We start from the raw sequence: 16,130 nt of genomic DNA, 5'->3' as shown, positions 1-16,130 counted from the left end.
AAAATGGTGGTTCCAAAGCACCAATTTGTTTGAGTCTTTACCTCACTCCTGTTCTGTTGTGGAGTTGTCTCTGCCTCAGGGGTCCTCTCTTATCCCTTTCCTTGCTTTCTTTAAGAGGGCAGGTCCCTTGTGACCACTTGAGGCTGGATGTAGATTTGCCTCTCTGTTCTATGGCCCTAGAAGCAGATTGGGGATCTTAGTTGCTTGATTTCCCAAGGGAAGCTGAATGAATGTGGTCTAGTGAAATGTAATTAGTGACTTTCTCTGCAGTGGCTATTCTGACTTTCCAAAACCTCTTGGCTGCCAGATCTTGATCTTTCATCCCGAGGGTGGTATAAATCTCCCTGGATACAGGCTTGAGTTGATGGATTTCTTCCTGTAATATACTGGGCCAAAGGACTGCCCCTTAGAATTCCATATTTCTAGTCTTTTTTGCCTGCAAGTCAGGGTGGGTTTTCAACTTCATTGAATTCTTCTGATGCATGCATGGCCAGAAATGACATGCATTGTTCCTGGATGGTGGGTTGCTCAGAGGAGTGGACAGAAGCAGTCAGGGGCCCCTTTTTACGTGATCAGAGAAAGCCTTCAGGAGCTCCAGTTCCTCTGCTTGCATGGGAGGCCTCCAGATCACCCCAGGCCACTGCTGATGGCCCTCACTTTATCCCTCATCAGTGTCTTTGTTTAAAGAGCGTTTATTGAGGCATAGTTTATATGCAATAAACTTCAACCACTTTAATCGTTCACTTGGATGAATTTGGTAAATGTATACAGTAATCCAACCATTGTCACAATGGAGTTCAAAAGTTTCAGTCACCTGACAAGTACCCTTATTTGCCCCTTGGCTGTCTGGCACTCCCTCCCTCCCTGACCACCATAGGGCCAGGCAACCACTGACCCTGTTTCTGATGTTTTCAAAAGATTTTGCCTTTTCTAGAATTTCATATAAATTCAGTCATATGGGATGTACTCTTACATGTCTGGCTTCTCTTCCTTAGCAAAATGCATTAGAATTCATCCCTGTTGTTATCAATAGCTCATTCCTTTTTATTGCTGAGTATGTACAGATACTCTGTTTTGTATCGCATTCACCAGTTCAGGGAACACTGGGAGTTTTCCATTTCGTGGCTGTTGTGAATAATGCTTATATGAACATTTGCATTCAACTTTGTGTGGACATATGTTTTCATTTTGGATGGGTAAATGCCTAAGAGTGAAATTGCTGGGTTGACTGGTAAGTGTATGTTTAGCTTTTAGAGGAATTGCCACACTGTTTTCCAAATTACCTGTACAATTTTGCATTTCTACCAATGTCTGTGGATTCCTATTTCATATCTTTGCCAGCACTTGATATTGTCATTATAATTTTAGTTCTTCTAGTAGTGTAGTGTTACCTCATCGTAGCTTTTGCATTTTTGGCCTTGTGTTTTGTTTTGTGTTTAAGATTTTTATTTTGAAATAATTTTAGGTTTACAGGACTGTTGCAGAGATAGTACTGAGAGTTCCCTTATACCTTTTGCCCAACTTCTAATGCAGTGGCTTTCAATTATGGGTAATTTTGCCCCCAAAGGATCTTATACAATGTGTAGATACGTTTTTGGTTGTCACATCTTGGGGCACAGAGGGTGCTGCTGGTGGGTGGAAGCCAGGGACACTGCTAAACCTCCTGCCGTGCCCCAGACAGCCCCCCCCCCCCCGCCCCCACCAACAAAGACTTACCTGCTCCAAAATACCAGTAACGCTGAGGTCAGGAAACTGCTCTAATGTTTACGGCTTAAATAAGCATGTGACATTGATCAAAACTAAGAAAATAACATTGGCATTGGTGTACTGTTAACTAAATTACAGATTTGACTTGGATTCTGCATTTTTCCATTAATGTTCTTTTTCTGCTCCAGGATCCCATCAGGGTACTACATTACATTTACAGTTGCCATGTCTCCTGAGGCTCCTCCGTCTGTGATGGTTTCTTGTTCTATCCTTGTCTTTCATGATCTTGACAGGTTTTTTTTTGTGTGTGTGATAGGGTCTCGCTCTGTCACCCAGGCTGGAGTGCAGTGGTGCGATCTCAGCTCCCTGCAACCTCTGTCTTCTGGGTTCAAGTGATCCTCCCACCCCAACGCTCCTGAGTAGCTGGGACTACAGGTGTGTGCCACTATGCCTGGCCAAGTTTTGTATTTTTTGTAGAGACGGGGTTTCACCATGTTGCCTAGGCTGGTCTCAAACTCATGGGTTCAAGCAATCTGCCTGCCTTGGCCTCCCAAAGTGCTGGGATCACAGGTGTTAGCCACTGTGCCTGGCTGATTTGTAGTTTTCTGAAGATGTTGAGAATTTTTTTCTTGTATTTCTTGGCTGTTTGTACATTTTCTTTTGTGAAGTTGTTAAAATCTTTTGCTTTTTAAAAGAATAAAAGAACTTTATTGAGATTTAGTTTACATGTCGTACGTTTCACCACTTTAAAGTGTACAAGTTGATGGTTTGTAGTAATATTCACAGAGTTGTGCAACATTGCCACAATGAATTTTAAAACATTTTTATCACCTCAATAAGAAACCTGGTTCCCATTAGCAACCACTACCCATTCCTCTCCAATCTCCCAGCCCTAGGCAACCACTCTTTTACTTTGTGTCTTCATTGATTTGCCTATTCCAGGCATTTTATAGAAATGTAATCATACAGTATGTCGTCTTTTGTGACTGACTTCATTCACTTAGCATGCTGTTTTCAGTATTCATCCATGTTTCACTTGAGCCTAGGAGTTCAAGGCTGCATTGAGCTATGATCGTGCCACTGCATTCTAGCCTGGGTGACAGAGTGAGACCCTGTGTTGTTTTTTTTTTTTTTTTTTTTAAAAAAAGCTACATCATGTTGTAGTAGTATGCATCAGTACCTCATTCCTTTAATAATGCTCCATTGAATGGATACGTAGTATTTTGATTATTCACTCCTCAGTTGACAGATATTTAGGTTGTTTCCATCTTTCGGTTATTAGTATTAATAATGTGCTGGGCTCATTTATGAACACTTATTCTTTTAATTGGGCTGTTTGTCTGCTTATTATGGAGTTATAAGAGTACAAGGATTATTTATATATTCTGGATACCAGTTTTGGTCAGATATTTTCTCCAGTCTGTGGCTCATGATTTTTATTTTCTCAGTGGTGTGGTTTAGGGAGCAAAGTTTTAAATTTTGATGAAGTCAAATTTATCAATTTTTTTCTTTTATGGTTTGTATACTTTGGCTCCTCAGAAATCTTTGTCTAACCTAAGGTCACAAAGATTTTTTTTTCTCTTCAAGAAGTTTTATGTTTTAGTTCTTACATTACATCTATGGGTCCATTTTGAATTAATTTTGGTTTATGGTATGAAATAAGAGTCAATTTTTTTTCCCCCCATATGGCTATTTATTCTAGCACCACTTTTTGAAGACTTTCCCTGTTCACCTTTGTAAAAAAAAAAAAATTACTTGGTATATGTGTGGGTTTGTTTCTGGACTTCGACATTTACTTTTGTCTATTTCTCCTTGCAGTTGTATTGGTTTTTGCTGCATGTATTTTGAAACTCTGTTATTAGGCATATAAACATTTGAGATAATTATGTCTTCTTCATGAGTTTACCCCTTTATCATTATGAAATGACCTCTTTTCCCTTGGTGATGTTCTTTGCTCCAAAATCTGTTTTGTCTGATATTAATATAGCTACTCCAGCTTTCTTTGGACTATTGTTAGCATAATATATTCATCTTTTATTATTTATTTGCATCTGTATATTTAACATGTGTTTCTTATAAGTAATATGTAGTTGGGTCTTCTTTTTTTTTATCCATTCTGTTAATCTTTTTCTAATTGCAATGTTTAGACCATTTACATTTAATGTAATTATTGATGCAGTTAGGTTTAAGTATATCATCTTGCTGTTTGTTTTCTATTTGTCACATCTGTTTTGTTCCCTTTTTGTTCTTTGTCTGCTTTCTCTTGAGTTAATTGAACTTCTTTGTGATTTTAGTTTGCTTTTTAAATAGTTTATTAGTTATAATTCATTTTTTTTATTTTAGTGGTTGCCTTAGCATTTATAGTATGTATATTTAACTTACCATGGCCTACCTTCCAGTGGTATTTTACCACTTCATGTATAGTGTAAGGAACTTATCATAGTATGCCTTCGTTTCCCCTCTCCTGGTCTTTATGTGATTTCGTCATGCATTTTATTATATATGTGTTATAAATCCACAATAATAATAAAGTGTTATTTTTAACTTAGTCAATTATTTCTGAAAGAGATTTAAATAATAACATAAAAGTTTGTGTATCTATGCATGTAGTTATCACTTCTGGTGTTCTTTATTCCTTTCTACAGATTCACATTTCCATCGGATTTTCTTTATCATTTCTTATAGTTCAGATCTGCTGGTGATAGATTTTTTGAATGTCTAAAAGAGTCTTTATTCTTTTTTAATTTCTTGTCTTTGGATGGTCCACAGTTCACAGTGGCCTCCTGGGCTTGTGGGTCCACTCTTTGGGAAGGCCCCACACCTTAGGGTACCCCTGCCCCCCGCCTGCTCCATTGATCAGTATACTGATGGAATTAGCTGTTGCAGAGATCTTTGACGTGTCTCCTCAGTAGGCCTTTTGTAGCTCTAGCTCAGATCATGCTTATGATGGGACAACATCACTTGGTCCTGCAATGACAATCACATTGTCTCCCCCCATGGCCATAGCTTCCTCTGTGTAGAATGCCATAGTGCACATCATTCCTCTGTTGCTTGCCATCTTGTGGTGAGACTTTTCTGAGTTGAGTCTTGGCCTGTTCCTCAGTCTCGGGCTGACTTAACTGTTCTCCTGTACATTGCTCAGGCCAGTGGACTGCAATGATTTCTCTTTCCTTTTGGTAGTTGCCACTTCTGACTCTATCTTGGTTCTCTTGACCAGTTCTGCCTATAGTGGGATGCAGTGTCCCCAGCTCCTCCTTCCCTTGCTGCCCTCAAAATAAACATCTGTAGCTCCTTCTCATTTTACAGGTTTTATGGTTAATCAGCACAGGGAGATAGGAAAGTAAAAATAATAAATGTGGAGAAATAACGGAATTTTAAAAATTCTCTCAAGGCTTTCCAAGAGAATTTCTGCAGAATTTCTAGTTGGCACTTACTCATTCAGTCATTAAGAGGCCATCAGATGCCTCTTTGGGCCTTTCTCTTCTGCATTTATTGGTCCCTTAGTTGCCTTCAACTGTCTTGAGCTTTTCTTCTAAGCCTATGTAGGCCTGAGGAACCAGCCAAAAAATGAGAAAAAGGTTTTGCCTTATTCTCAAGTGGACATTTTCAAACTCTGATGACTACCAGACTAGAAGATGCAGGCCTCCTTTCCTGTAGGACTGTGGCCCATGCTGGAATGGCCGTCGCTGGGCATTCCTGGGTAGCCTCCGTCCTCCTTCTGGACACAGGTTGCTCATTTTGTCTTGTGCCCAGGTGCACTTACCTGCTCTTAGCGCAATGCCTGGAACCTTGTGGTCCTTCAGTCAATGTGGCCCCAATAACCATATGCATTGTTTTTGTCTCCATAGGCAGATTATTGCCAGAGGGCTGCTTGATATCTTCCGGGACTTCGGTAACAATGAAGAAGACTTCCTCACGGTAATGGAGATTGTAGTCAGATTGTCAGAAGATGCAGGTTTGTATAAGGATTGTATAATTTTATTTTTTACTTATGAATTTCTAAGAAATTATGTATAACCAGTAATAGCTATTTTTTAAAAAACCTGTTTATTAATCAATAACCTTTAAGCAGTTTCTAACCATGAATGGATTTTGTCTTGAAGAATGTATGTCTTATTTGAATTTTGACTGAAATTTTCTTATATTTAGAAAATTAAAATGATTAATGGCTACGAATGCTGTTTGCCTTGGCAGTTAGGCCTTTGGTATTTCTTGAGTTTTGCCAGACTACTGGTTGCTAAGAAATGCCAAATCAAAAGAAGCCTCTTGGGTTCGAAAATCTCAGTCATTAGTTTCCCTCTAGGCGAATCTTGATTTTTCTTTCTCATTCTACCTCTCCATGATTGGTATCGTGGAAGAAAAGCACGTTGCTGTACAGCAGATATGATGATGTTGTCTTCCCCCCCGCCCCAGTAAAGATGAGTTAGATGAATGAGTGGCGGGGCTGGCCGGTACTGACAGCTGTGCCACAGCCCCCTCCTTCCTGCATTCAGAATGAATCATGAGAAGCTTCAGAAAGTTTCAGGACTCTCAGCCTTTAGAGTTTAATCATTTTAACTGAAAATAGAAAAATAAGCCTTCCATATAGCTCCCACATTAGTTCAAAATATTTATATGAATATAACGCAATGCTTTTAAAAACGCCCAAGTGGATGTTTTGAGTCTTTAAATGGATTCTCTTTGTAAATGAGTCACCGTTTACAGTGCTGTAGCAATTATACATTTGTGTTAAATTTAATGTGGTATATTGGAGCTAGAGCCGCTCTTTTGTTTAATGCTTTGCCTTAGAAATAATTGGGATGCGTGGATTGTGGCGGAGTGCATTTATGAAAGAATTATTTATAATGTATACATTCTGGCTAGAATTTAAATAAGCACAACCCATAGGTCTGGCAGATAAGGCATTAGTTGTAATGGCTTTTGGATGCTGGCCCAGCATGCAGACTTCTTGCTCCCTCCTCAAATTTATATATGGCTTGTTATAATAGAGTTGTCATTCTCTCTTCTTTTTATGTTTTTATATTGCTGTATAGCTCATTAGCTTTTTAAGCCTGTCTGTAGCATAAATACTCTAAATGGGAAATGATTTTTAAACTGCATTTGTCTAATTTCCTTGATGAAGTATTTTAGTAAGAAAAGCTAGAAACTATCAGTATATACTATCTAAGATGCTTGGCTTATTCTTAATATAATTTTTTTAAATTTTTTATTGCTGCAGAGCCCACAGTGCGGACTGAGCTGATGGAACAGATTCCTCCTATTGCCATTTTTTTACAAGAAAACAGATCAAATTTTCCAGTGGTGCTCTCTGAATATCTCATACCTATTGTAGTGAGGTACCTCACAGATCCAAACAATCAGGTTTGAAAAATTATAACCTTAAGATCTCTTTAGCAAATTCTCTTTAGTCTTGTTTTAGCTGATATTCATACTACAAAAAACAACTTCTTAGAGTTAAGTGATTCTAGAACAAAAGGTCTATTTGTGTCCAGTTCCTCTAGTCATGTAGGAAGATAGACAGCACTCATTCTTATCATGAAATATTTCTTTTTTTCTTTAGCATTTTACTATGGAAATTTTCAAACGCACATAACAGTAGAGAGAATATGAAAATGAATGCCCACGTGCCCTACACCTGGCATCAACCATTGTTAACGTTTGACCTGGCCGGGCGTGGTGGCTCACGCCTGTAATCCCAGCACTTTGGGAGTCTGAAGCAGGTGAATCACCTGAGGTCAGGAGTTTAAGACCAGCCTGGCCAACTTGGTGCAACCCCATTTCTACTGAAAATACAAAAATTAGCTGGGCATAGTAGTGCGTGCTTGTAGTCCCAGCTACTCGTGAGGCTGAGGCAGCAGAATTACTTGAGCCCGGCAGGTGGAGATTGCAGTGAGCCGAGATCGTGTCACTGCACTCCAGCCTGGGTGACACAGTGAGACTCTGCCTCAAAAAAAAATAAAAACAAAAAAAATTCGATTAATTTTTTCATTTATCTTACCGAGATAAAATCCAATCCAGACAAAAGAATTTGCAGAAACCATCTCATTTCAGCTGTAAATACTTTTAGTATTGTTCTCTAAGAAATAGACTCTTTTAAAAAAAAACGATAGTATCATTAATGCAAATATAAAAATTATCAGTAGTTATCTAATGTCATCTAATATCTAGTCATTGGTCAAATTTCCCAGTTTTCTCATAAGTGTGTGTTTTTGCGCAGAGGCCGTTCAAACCAGAATACAAACAATGTCCACACATTGAATCTAAGTGATATATGTCTCTTAGATCTTTTAAAATTTATAATGTTGCTCCTCCCCACTTTTTTCCCTTGCTATTTATTTGTTGAGGAAGCCAGGTCATTAGTTTTATAGAATTTCCCACATTTGGGATATGGTTTATTGCATCTCTGTAGTGTTAAGATGTTGCTCTACTCCAGGCATTTCTTATAAACTAGTAGCTAAGTTGGAAGCTCAGCCAGACTCAGATTTTTTATTTAGTGAGAATACTTTGTAGATGGTTTGTGTTTTCCTGCTATATCAAATCGGGGGCAGAAAAGCTCTGGATGGTTATCTTTTCCTAATGCTGAATTTGGCCACCTTTTCTGTAAAGGTGGCCAAACTTCTATAAAGTTCTCCATCATCGTATGAGCAACCATTGGTGATGGTTGCCCTGATCCAGTATCTCATTAGAGGCTGTAAATTCTGACACACTAATTCCAACATCTCTTTTTAGTTTAATAGCTAGAGTTCTTCTGTAAAGGTTTCCTCTATCAACTATTTGATAGCCCTGAAAACCTGTTTGAATAGGGAAGATAGAATAAATGCTTTATTTTATCCCTTTATTTACCAGTTTCCAGGATCATCGTTGGCGTTTTAATAATCTACAAAGGTTACCAGTTAGGTTTTAAAAATTTTTTTGAGTATTGTTAGGAACTCCCACATTTTAACATAGTAGATATGTTTCAAACTGTTATAGTACTTATTCTTTTTTTTTTTTTAAATTATACTTTAAGTTCCAGGGTACATCTGCACAACGTGCAGGTTTGTTACAGACGCAGTAAAACACTTTCCTCATAATTGTCATATTTTTAATTTTGTTGAATACTTGGATTTCGTTCAGGTTTTGTGTGTGTGTGTGTGTGTGTGTGTGTGCTGTAGATGCAGTGAACATCGGAAAGGATGTGGTTTTGTCCTTTCATTGACTTTTCTTTTTCCTTTGGATTCATTCTTGAAAATGAGATTACACTGAGTCAGGGGATTTGACATTTCTTGACCTTTGTCCAGTAGCATTGCTGTATCTTCTCTTCCAGAAGAGCCGAGGCAGGAAGCGTGGTTTTGACTCCAGAATCTAGCATGGTGCCTGACACTCAGTCTGTGTTTGCTGAAGAGTCATATTCTTGGTCGAGAGCAGGCACTCCGATGGTCAGCCCGAGCTGTGTGTGCACCCAGCTTCCCAATGTGTCCGCACCCAGCTTCCCATTGTGTGCAGATCTGCCGCACCTCTGCACTCCCACTTCCACTACAAACACAGCTTGCCCTCCTTTTTTTGCTCCCCTGCCGTGGGCCTTCCTGCCCCCACAGGCCTCTGGCTCTGCAGCCTCTATTTCCTGCCTGCATTTACTTCCTGTTGTTCCTCAGCGGCTCCCTCTCTTGTCCCACCCTTTCAGGCCTGTCCCTGCCATCACCCTCTATTTACTTGTCCTTTTGATGGTGCTTCTGCCACGCTGGCTTTGCCTGTCCTCCCCAGCCCTTCAGTGTCCTCCACTGCTTGTGGCCGAGCTTGGTGGAGGGAGTCCTGTCATGCACTGATTGGTGCCGTTGCAAATTGATGGGTTCCAGTCGTGGCTGGGCTTGCAGCATTGCTTGGCAGTCCTTTCCCTTGTCCCTCATCAGCTGCATTTCCCATTATCCTTGGCAGTTCTCTTAGACCTTCGCCATTTCATCAGGCCTCTCCCCTCTGCCTGCCTCGCGCCAAGCAGATGACCTTGCCTTTTACTCAGAGCAAATAGAGGCCTTCAATCTTCATCCCCTATCTCCATGCAGGGAACCACCACCTACTTCACACACTCCCCAGAGCCGCCACCCAGGAACTGACGAAATCCTCTCCCCTCACCTCCTCCATCCAGCTAGAGCCAAGCCCTGTCTCCTTTGTTTCCATCAAAAGTACCTAACCCCTTGAGGGCACCCGCTCCTCTTCATTCCCACCCTTAGTAAACACAGAAAAGTGCTGAAGTTCTTTCTCGCTGACCTCTTGTTCCCTGAGGCACAGCCCAGACTCCTTCCTGGGCACCTGTCCCTTTCTGCCCTTGACTCTGCTGGCATCTGCCTGTCCCCTCTGTCCTTATGATTCTGACCTTCTTGCCCTTCCCAAATGCCCCCTCCTCTCTTCTGTCAGTCTCTGTCTTCCTTTAACAGATGCTGACTCTTTCCGACATCCACAGTGGGGGCCCCTGAAAACACCCAAAGGTCCCCGATTAGGATTCTTAATTCGGCAAAGACGAAGATTCTCGTGCATGTGGGGATGGGATGGGTGTGCTAGGTTCCAGCTAGCGTCTGCATCTCAGGCCAGCTGGCCCTTCTCTGTTCATCAGCAGGTACTCTTCATGGTCACCGAACGTGTGAGGCATGAAATTCACAACGTTGGGGGTAATATCAGTGCTATTGCAAGGACTACTGCTGCCACTCACAGCACCCCTTTTTTGAGTTGTCGCTGTGCTCCAGGGCTGTGCTCCAGGCTAGCTTGGCTTATCTCCTTTCCTCTTGTTCACCCCCACTGTGAAGTATGGGTGAGTTGCTAGTTAAGCAGAGAGGTGTGGTTGTGGGTGCTGAGTAGCAGCTGGAGAAGGCAGGAGGCTGGATGTCTGGTTTCATGAGGCTGCCTGTTGCATGCTATGGGGCTGTGGAGGCTCTTCTAGATGTTGTAAGCCAAAGTGTCTCTCCCCTTCTTGAGTGAGAGCCGAGGATTGTATTTTGTTGGCTTCCGTGACCTAGCACAGGGTCTGGCACCTGGTAGTTTCAGTAAAGATTTGTAGAACTGAATCAGCTGCACATGCCGTTTGATAATGTAGGCAGATTTCTTCAGTGGTCCTGAGCTCCTCCCCTCTGTCTTACAGGAAGGGATGTCCCACCCCCTTTTTAAGTCTCATGTCTTAGTTTCTCTCTGTGGTCCCATCCTGTTGTCTCAGAGCTTGCTTATTTTTCCAGCTCTCTCATTGGTTTCTTGTTTGATTATAATCAGTCCTCAGTCTCCCTGCTCTCTCCGTTCCCTGGCCTTGACTCAGAGCTTGTGGCCCACTCCTTCTCCTACTGTCAAGCTTTTTCAGAGAGGAACCTCCACTGCCTCTACCTCTGGGCTCTTCTTCTGGCACTAGCTCCTCGTGCGGCAGCTGATGCTTTCTGGAAGCTGGTAGATAGGTATCTTGCCACGGACTCAGTGAATCTGCTCATTGTAAAATCCAGTGCTTTTTTTTTTTTTTAATAGTTCAGTGTTTAAAATGTTATGAGATTTTTAATCACACAAGACAGCATTGTGTAATAAACACCCATATACCTACCATTCATATTCAACAAATGTTAACATTTTGCAATTTTCTGCATATCCTTTTATTTTTTATTTAGAGGTTACAGATACGGTGGCAGCTTCTCTGTACCCCTCCTCCATCCCATTCTTCTCCCTCCCTCCCCTTCCTGAGCCTGGCATGAGACCTTCTCACCAGGTTTTCACACTCACACCACTTGTGTAGGTGGCCCCTGAATAAGAGAGTGTCTTGTTTGGGAGCTTGAAAGCTTGCATAGATGGCATCATTGGACGTGTATTCCATTCTGCCGATTGCGTGACTCCTTTGTGTCTTAGACCCCTCCACATTGATTGGGATAGCTGCTGGTCATTCTTTTTACCTGCTTTATAGTATTTGTATTTCATTTTAGCTGCTATATAGTATTTATATTTCTCCCACAATTTCTTAATCTACTCACTGACTTTTTTTCTTTGTTTGACCCATTTGCACCATTTGTCACTGTTGACCAGTTTTGAGTGTTTGCACAGACCTTTACTGGATCCCACTAGGCATTTAGTGTTGCTTCACCCCAGACAGTGGGATGCAAAGGTAACTGGACACACCCCTTGCTGGGATCCTCTAAATATTTGTCTCCTTTGGCTTCCAATAATCATGGTTGTACTAACAGTACCAGCCAGTATTCATTTAGTGCATGCCATGTCCCAGACACCATCGGAAGCCTGTCGCTCCTTTCATCCCCACAACAAACTTATGAGATAGATACTATGATTATCCAGTTTTATGGATGGGAAACTGAGGCTGAGAGAGGCCAAGTCACTTGGCCAAGATGACTCAGCTAGTCACTTGGAGGATCCAGATGGGGGCTCAGCATTCAGACCCCACAGCCGGAGCCTGTACCCACTGCCGTGTTAGCTCTTGAGCTCCAGGCCTCCTCCCTGCCTCTGCCCGCACTTCTTGTCTGTGTCTTCCCCAATCTCCATCATTAGCCCAATCCTCTCCTGCCCCTAAGAGTTGCTGTTTCATCTCTAGGGTATTATCTTTGGTCTTCCTTTTCTTATGATATCAGGGTTCCCTTCATGGCCTTGTCTGCTGCTGTGGCCCTAGGGAGACTCTACACACAACTGAACACTAGACTGCTGTCTCTCACCCAGGTCTCTGGAGTCTGTGAATCACCGCCCTCCATCGCCACAGCCTACTGGATGGCTCTGTCTAGATGTCCAGCGAATCCCATAGAGTTTAGAGACTCTAGCGTCCCGCCCTAGTCTCTCTATCCTCCATCTTGCTCTGACTTCTGTGATTATCCTGTGTAGTCATTCTCAGCTCTCTGTAGCAGTGTCTGTCACACCTGCCCTCTTCTTTCTGTCCCCTGCCCTGACATCATGCCTCATGAAAGCCTGTAGTGGCCCAGGAGCCCCTCACCTGCTCTCTCTTGTCAGAACCACTTTAGGTTTCCAGACTGTCACCCTCACTGAAGCCAGGTGTGATTGTGTTGGTCCTCTGCTGTTAAACCCTTGGGGGCTCCCATTGCACCTGGAGTGGTCACCAGAGGTCCTAGTGGGATCGGGCATGCTTTTCCTGGCCTGACCTCACTTGCCCTTCATCCTCCCATTCTGCCATCTGGAACTTGTCCTACTTCTTCAGAGTATTTGGCCCCAGAGTTCATCACCTTGCACCTTAGAATGTGCTGTTTGTTCTCTGGTCCTGGAAGGCCTTCTCCCCTGCTACCCTTGCTCAGTGGATTCATTACCTGGAGCTGCTGTAACAACTTACCACAGACTGCGTAGCATAAAACAATAGATGTTTCTTCCCTCTCAGTTCCACAGGTGGGAAGTGCAGCATCAGGGGGTCGTCAGGGTGGGTTCCCTCTGGGTGCTCTAGGGGAGAATCTTTCCTTCTGCTTCCAGTCTCTGGCGGTTGCCAGCTTCTTGGGCTTGTGGCCACATCACTTGAATCTCTGCTGCTAACTTCACATGGCCTCTCTCCTCTTCTGTCAGTGTTTTCTTCTCGTCTTTCTCTTGTAAGGACACTCGTGATTGTATTTAGGGCCCGTCCAGGTAACTCTGGGTGATCTCAAGCTCCGTAATCACATCAGCAGAGAGCCAAAGAAGGTCACATTCACAGCTTCAGAGATGTGATGCGGCCAGATCTTTTTGGGGGCCATCATTCAGCCCACTACCCTTTGCAGACTCCTAGGTGTCTTTTGGCATCTGATACTGAGTGGCTGCTCAGGGCCTTCCCCCTCCTTGCCTGGCGTGCCCTCCCATCCTTGTTGTCCTCCATGCATCTCAGTATGTCAGCTAGGGTAGCATCATGCAGCAAAGCGGCACGTGGGCTTGCCTGTTCTTGTCTGTAGTCCCCTCATGCTCTCAACTCCTGACACATGCTGGACACGCAATCCGAGTGTGACACTTTAGAGGTAGCATGGGCCTTTTCTTCTCCTAGTGACACCCGGGTCCTGTCGCTGTGCCCGGGTGGTGCTGCTGGGGCATCAGCTTTCCTCACTCCTGGCAGCCAGCCCCAGTCTCTTCCCTTTGCCTGGATGTTTGCAGTAGCTACCTTGCTGACCTCGTTGCTCTTGGTCTTTTCATTGTCTCCAGTTGACTTGGAACGCTACTGCCAGGATGATCTTTCTGAAATACTGTTTTCATCTGTCGCCTGGTCAGAAGTGTTAATGTCATATTGCCTCTGTGGCTTGAGTCTCACAGGCTCACCCTCTTTTATAACCTTTTATAACCTGCTGTCGACGGATCATCTGTGACTCATCTACACACCTCTGGCTCCTGTTATTATTTGCCTGCCTTTTCATCACTGCGGTGAATTGCATATTTCATTATTTTGTCTATAAGTTGGAGTTTTATGTGCTTTCATTTCCCCAAAAATGTCTCTTCAGCTTCTTTGGACCCCTCTGAGCTCTAGTGCTTGCTCATTCCATGCAGACTGCAAAGAACAAGTGCTCCTCCACCTTCTTCTTCTGTGGACTGGGGGAGCCTTTGTTTTCTGTGGGAGCATCCCCCTTTGTCAGTGTCTCTTTCTTGGGCCCCTTCCCTGTGCGTTCTGTTGTACCAGACATAATTCCCATCTCAGGTGTGGCATGCCAGGGTTTACAAAGTCACAGGAGGTTGCTGCAGTGTTTTCCAGTCTCTGCCTACAAAGGAGAAAAGGCACGAAGTCATCCATTGATTCAGCAGATCGTTACAGAACGCAAAATTTTGTGCCACAGGCTGCCAGGTCCTGAGGGTGCACTGGAAGACAAAGGATAAATCAGATGTGGTACCTGCCTTCTGAATTCACTCTCTGCAGCAGGAGAGACAGGTGGCAATTATGAAATCATACAGAAAATAACCCTCTATATGTTTGTATGTATATAAATGCAGAAATGTGGAACAAGAGCTGTGGAAGAAAAAGTCCAGGGCACTAGTCGAGTATTGTTTAGGGACCTGTTCGAACAGGGTCCAGGAGCAGAGGGGCTTTGGGCTGGAGCGGAGGAGTGGTAGCCAGTCAGGTAGAGGGAATAGCCTATTCAAAGGCCTCAGGCAGGAAGACCCAGTGGTCTTCAGGGTGTTTAGGGTATGGGGGTGGGGGTAGGTAGGGGCCGGCTCAGCCACCCCTGCTCAGTGGGGTTGGTCTTGATCCTGAGGGCACTTCTGCTCACTTGTGCTTCACCTTCTGCGTTTTTTTCCCTTCTGGGTGAGAAAATCAAGTCAGGAAGTGCTCTTGATTCTTCTGGAACAAGACCTAATTTTCCAGCATGATGTTGAAAACAAAGTATGTCCCATTCTCCTGCAGCTCTCTGCCCCAGACAGTGATGACGAATATAAAGCAGAAGCTGTGAGCGTAAGTCCGTCCAGGGAATGACTGCCCAGCACCTGTGGGCACTGTCCCATAAGTTGACTTATACCTGACATGAAGTATTACACGTGTTTGATTTTGGTCAGCACTGTTCTCGTGAACAAGGTAACCAGTTACTCGACCTAGGTTGGAGAAAGCTCACAGTTCAGCCATGAGCATGTTTTGGAAGTAAGCATCCCTATAGCACCAATTGTTTTTTTGTTTTTTTTTATACTTCAAGTTCTAGGGTACATGTGCACAACATGTAGGTTTGTTACATATGTATACATGTGCCATGTTGGTGTGCTGCACCCATTAACTCGTCATTTACATTAGGTATATCTCCTAATGCTATCCCTCCCCTCTCCCCCGACCCCACGACAGGCCCCGGTGTGTAATGTTCCCCTTCCCATGGAATACTGTGCAGCCATAAAAAAGGATGAGTTCATGTCCTTTGTAGGGACATGGATGAAGCTGGAAGCCATCATTCTCAGCAAACTATCACGAGGACAGGAAACCAAACACCAATTGTTTTAAGAAGAAAAGGCTTGAGAAATCAGAGTGATTTGGGCTTAGCAGCAGTAGCTGGCTTAGATTTCTGTTGGACAAGATGCTGAGATTTATAGGTAAATCCTTGAACCTACTTGGACCCTGGGCCTTCCTTCTCAAAGAAACAACCCTAGTATGATGTGAGATAATTTTAGGTGGTACTTAGACAATTAAGAAGAAAATTTAGCAGACTTGTGTGTCTATAGATTAGGAGAAGACTAAGATAGGTATGTAAGCAAATAAGAAGAGTCACTGTGAAGAATGCAGATGTGGCCAAACATTTACAGGCATTTGGGAGATGCTGTGTTAAAGTATTTGTGCTTCTATCAGTCAAAGATGTGCAGTGAAAGGAATAGTATAAATGTTCAGTGTCTTCTAGTTAATAGTCTGGTATCCTTGGGTTTGCAAGATTCTGTGCCCATTGTTAAATGATTATACAGGCAGGATTTTCTACTCGCTTCTGGAGCCCTTGTTCACAAACCAGCAGCTGATGATCCAGTGCAGACTTTTCCTGCCTTCAGATCAGGATGCC

The 16,130-nt window shown here is 43.0% G+C and overlaps 1 pseudogene across 1 annotated transcript in view; it reads left to right on the top strand.

The window, feature by feature from the left end:
• Positions 1–16,130, top strand: part of PPP4R1L (protein phosphatase 4 regulatory subunit 1 like (pseudogene)) — a 76,663-nt pseudogene that overhangs the window by 31,009 nt on the left and 29,524 nt on the right. The window contains exon 4 of the transcript NR_003505.3: positions 5,556–5,662. The product of NR_003505.3 is annotated as a protein phosphatase 4 regulatory subunit 1 like (pseudogene) (transcript). The remainder of the gene's footprint in view (positions 1–5,555; positions 5,663–16,130) is intronic.

Source organism: Homo sapiens, chromosome 20 (genome assembly GCF_000001405.40).
Source record: "Homo sapiens chromosome 20, GRCh38.p14 Primary Assembly".
In the NCBI taxonomy this organism is placed as follows: domain Eukaryota; kingdom Metazoa; phylum Chordata; class Mammalia; order Primates; family Hominidae; genus Homo; species Homo sapiens.
The sequence above is the reverse complement of the archived record's forward strand: the minus strand, read 5'-3'. Positions and strand labels throughout refer to the sequence as shown.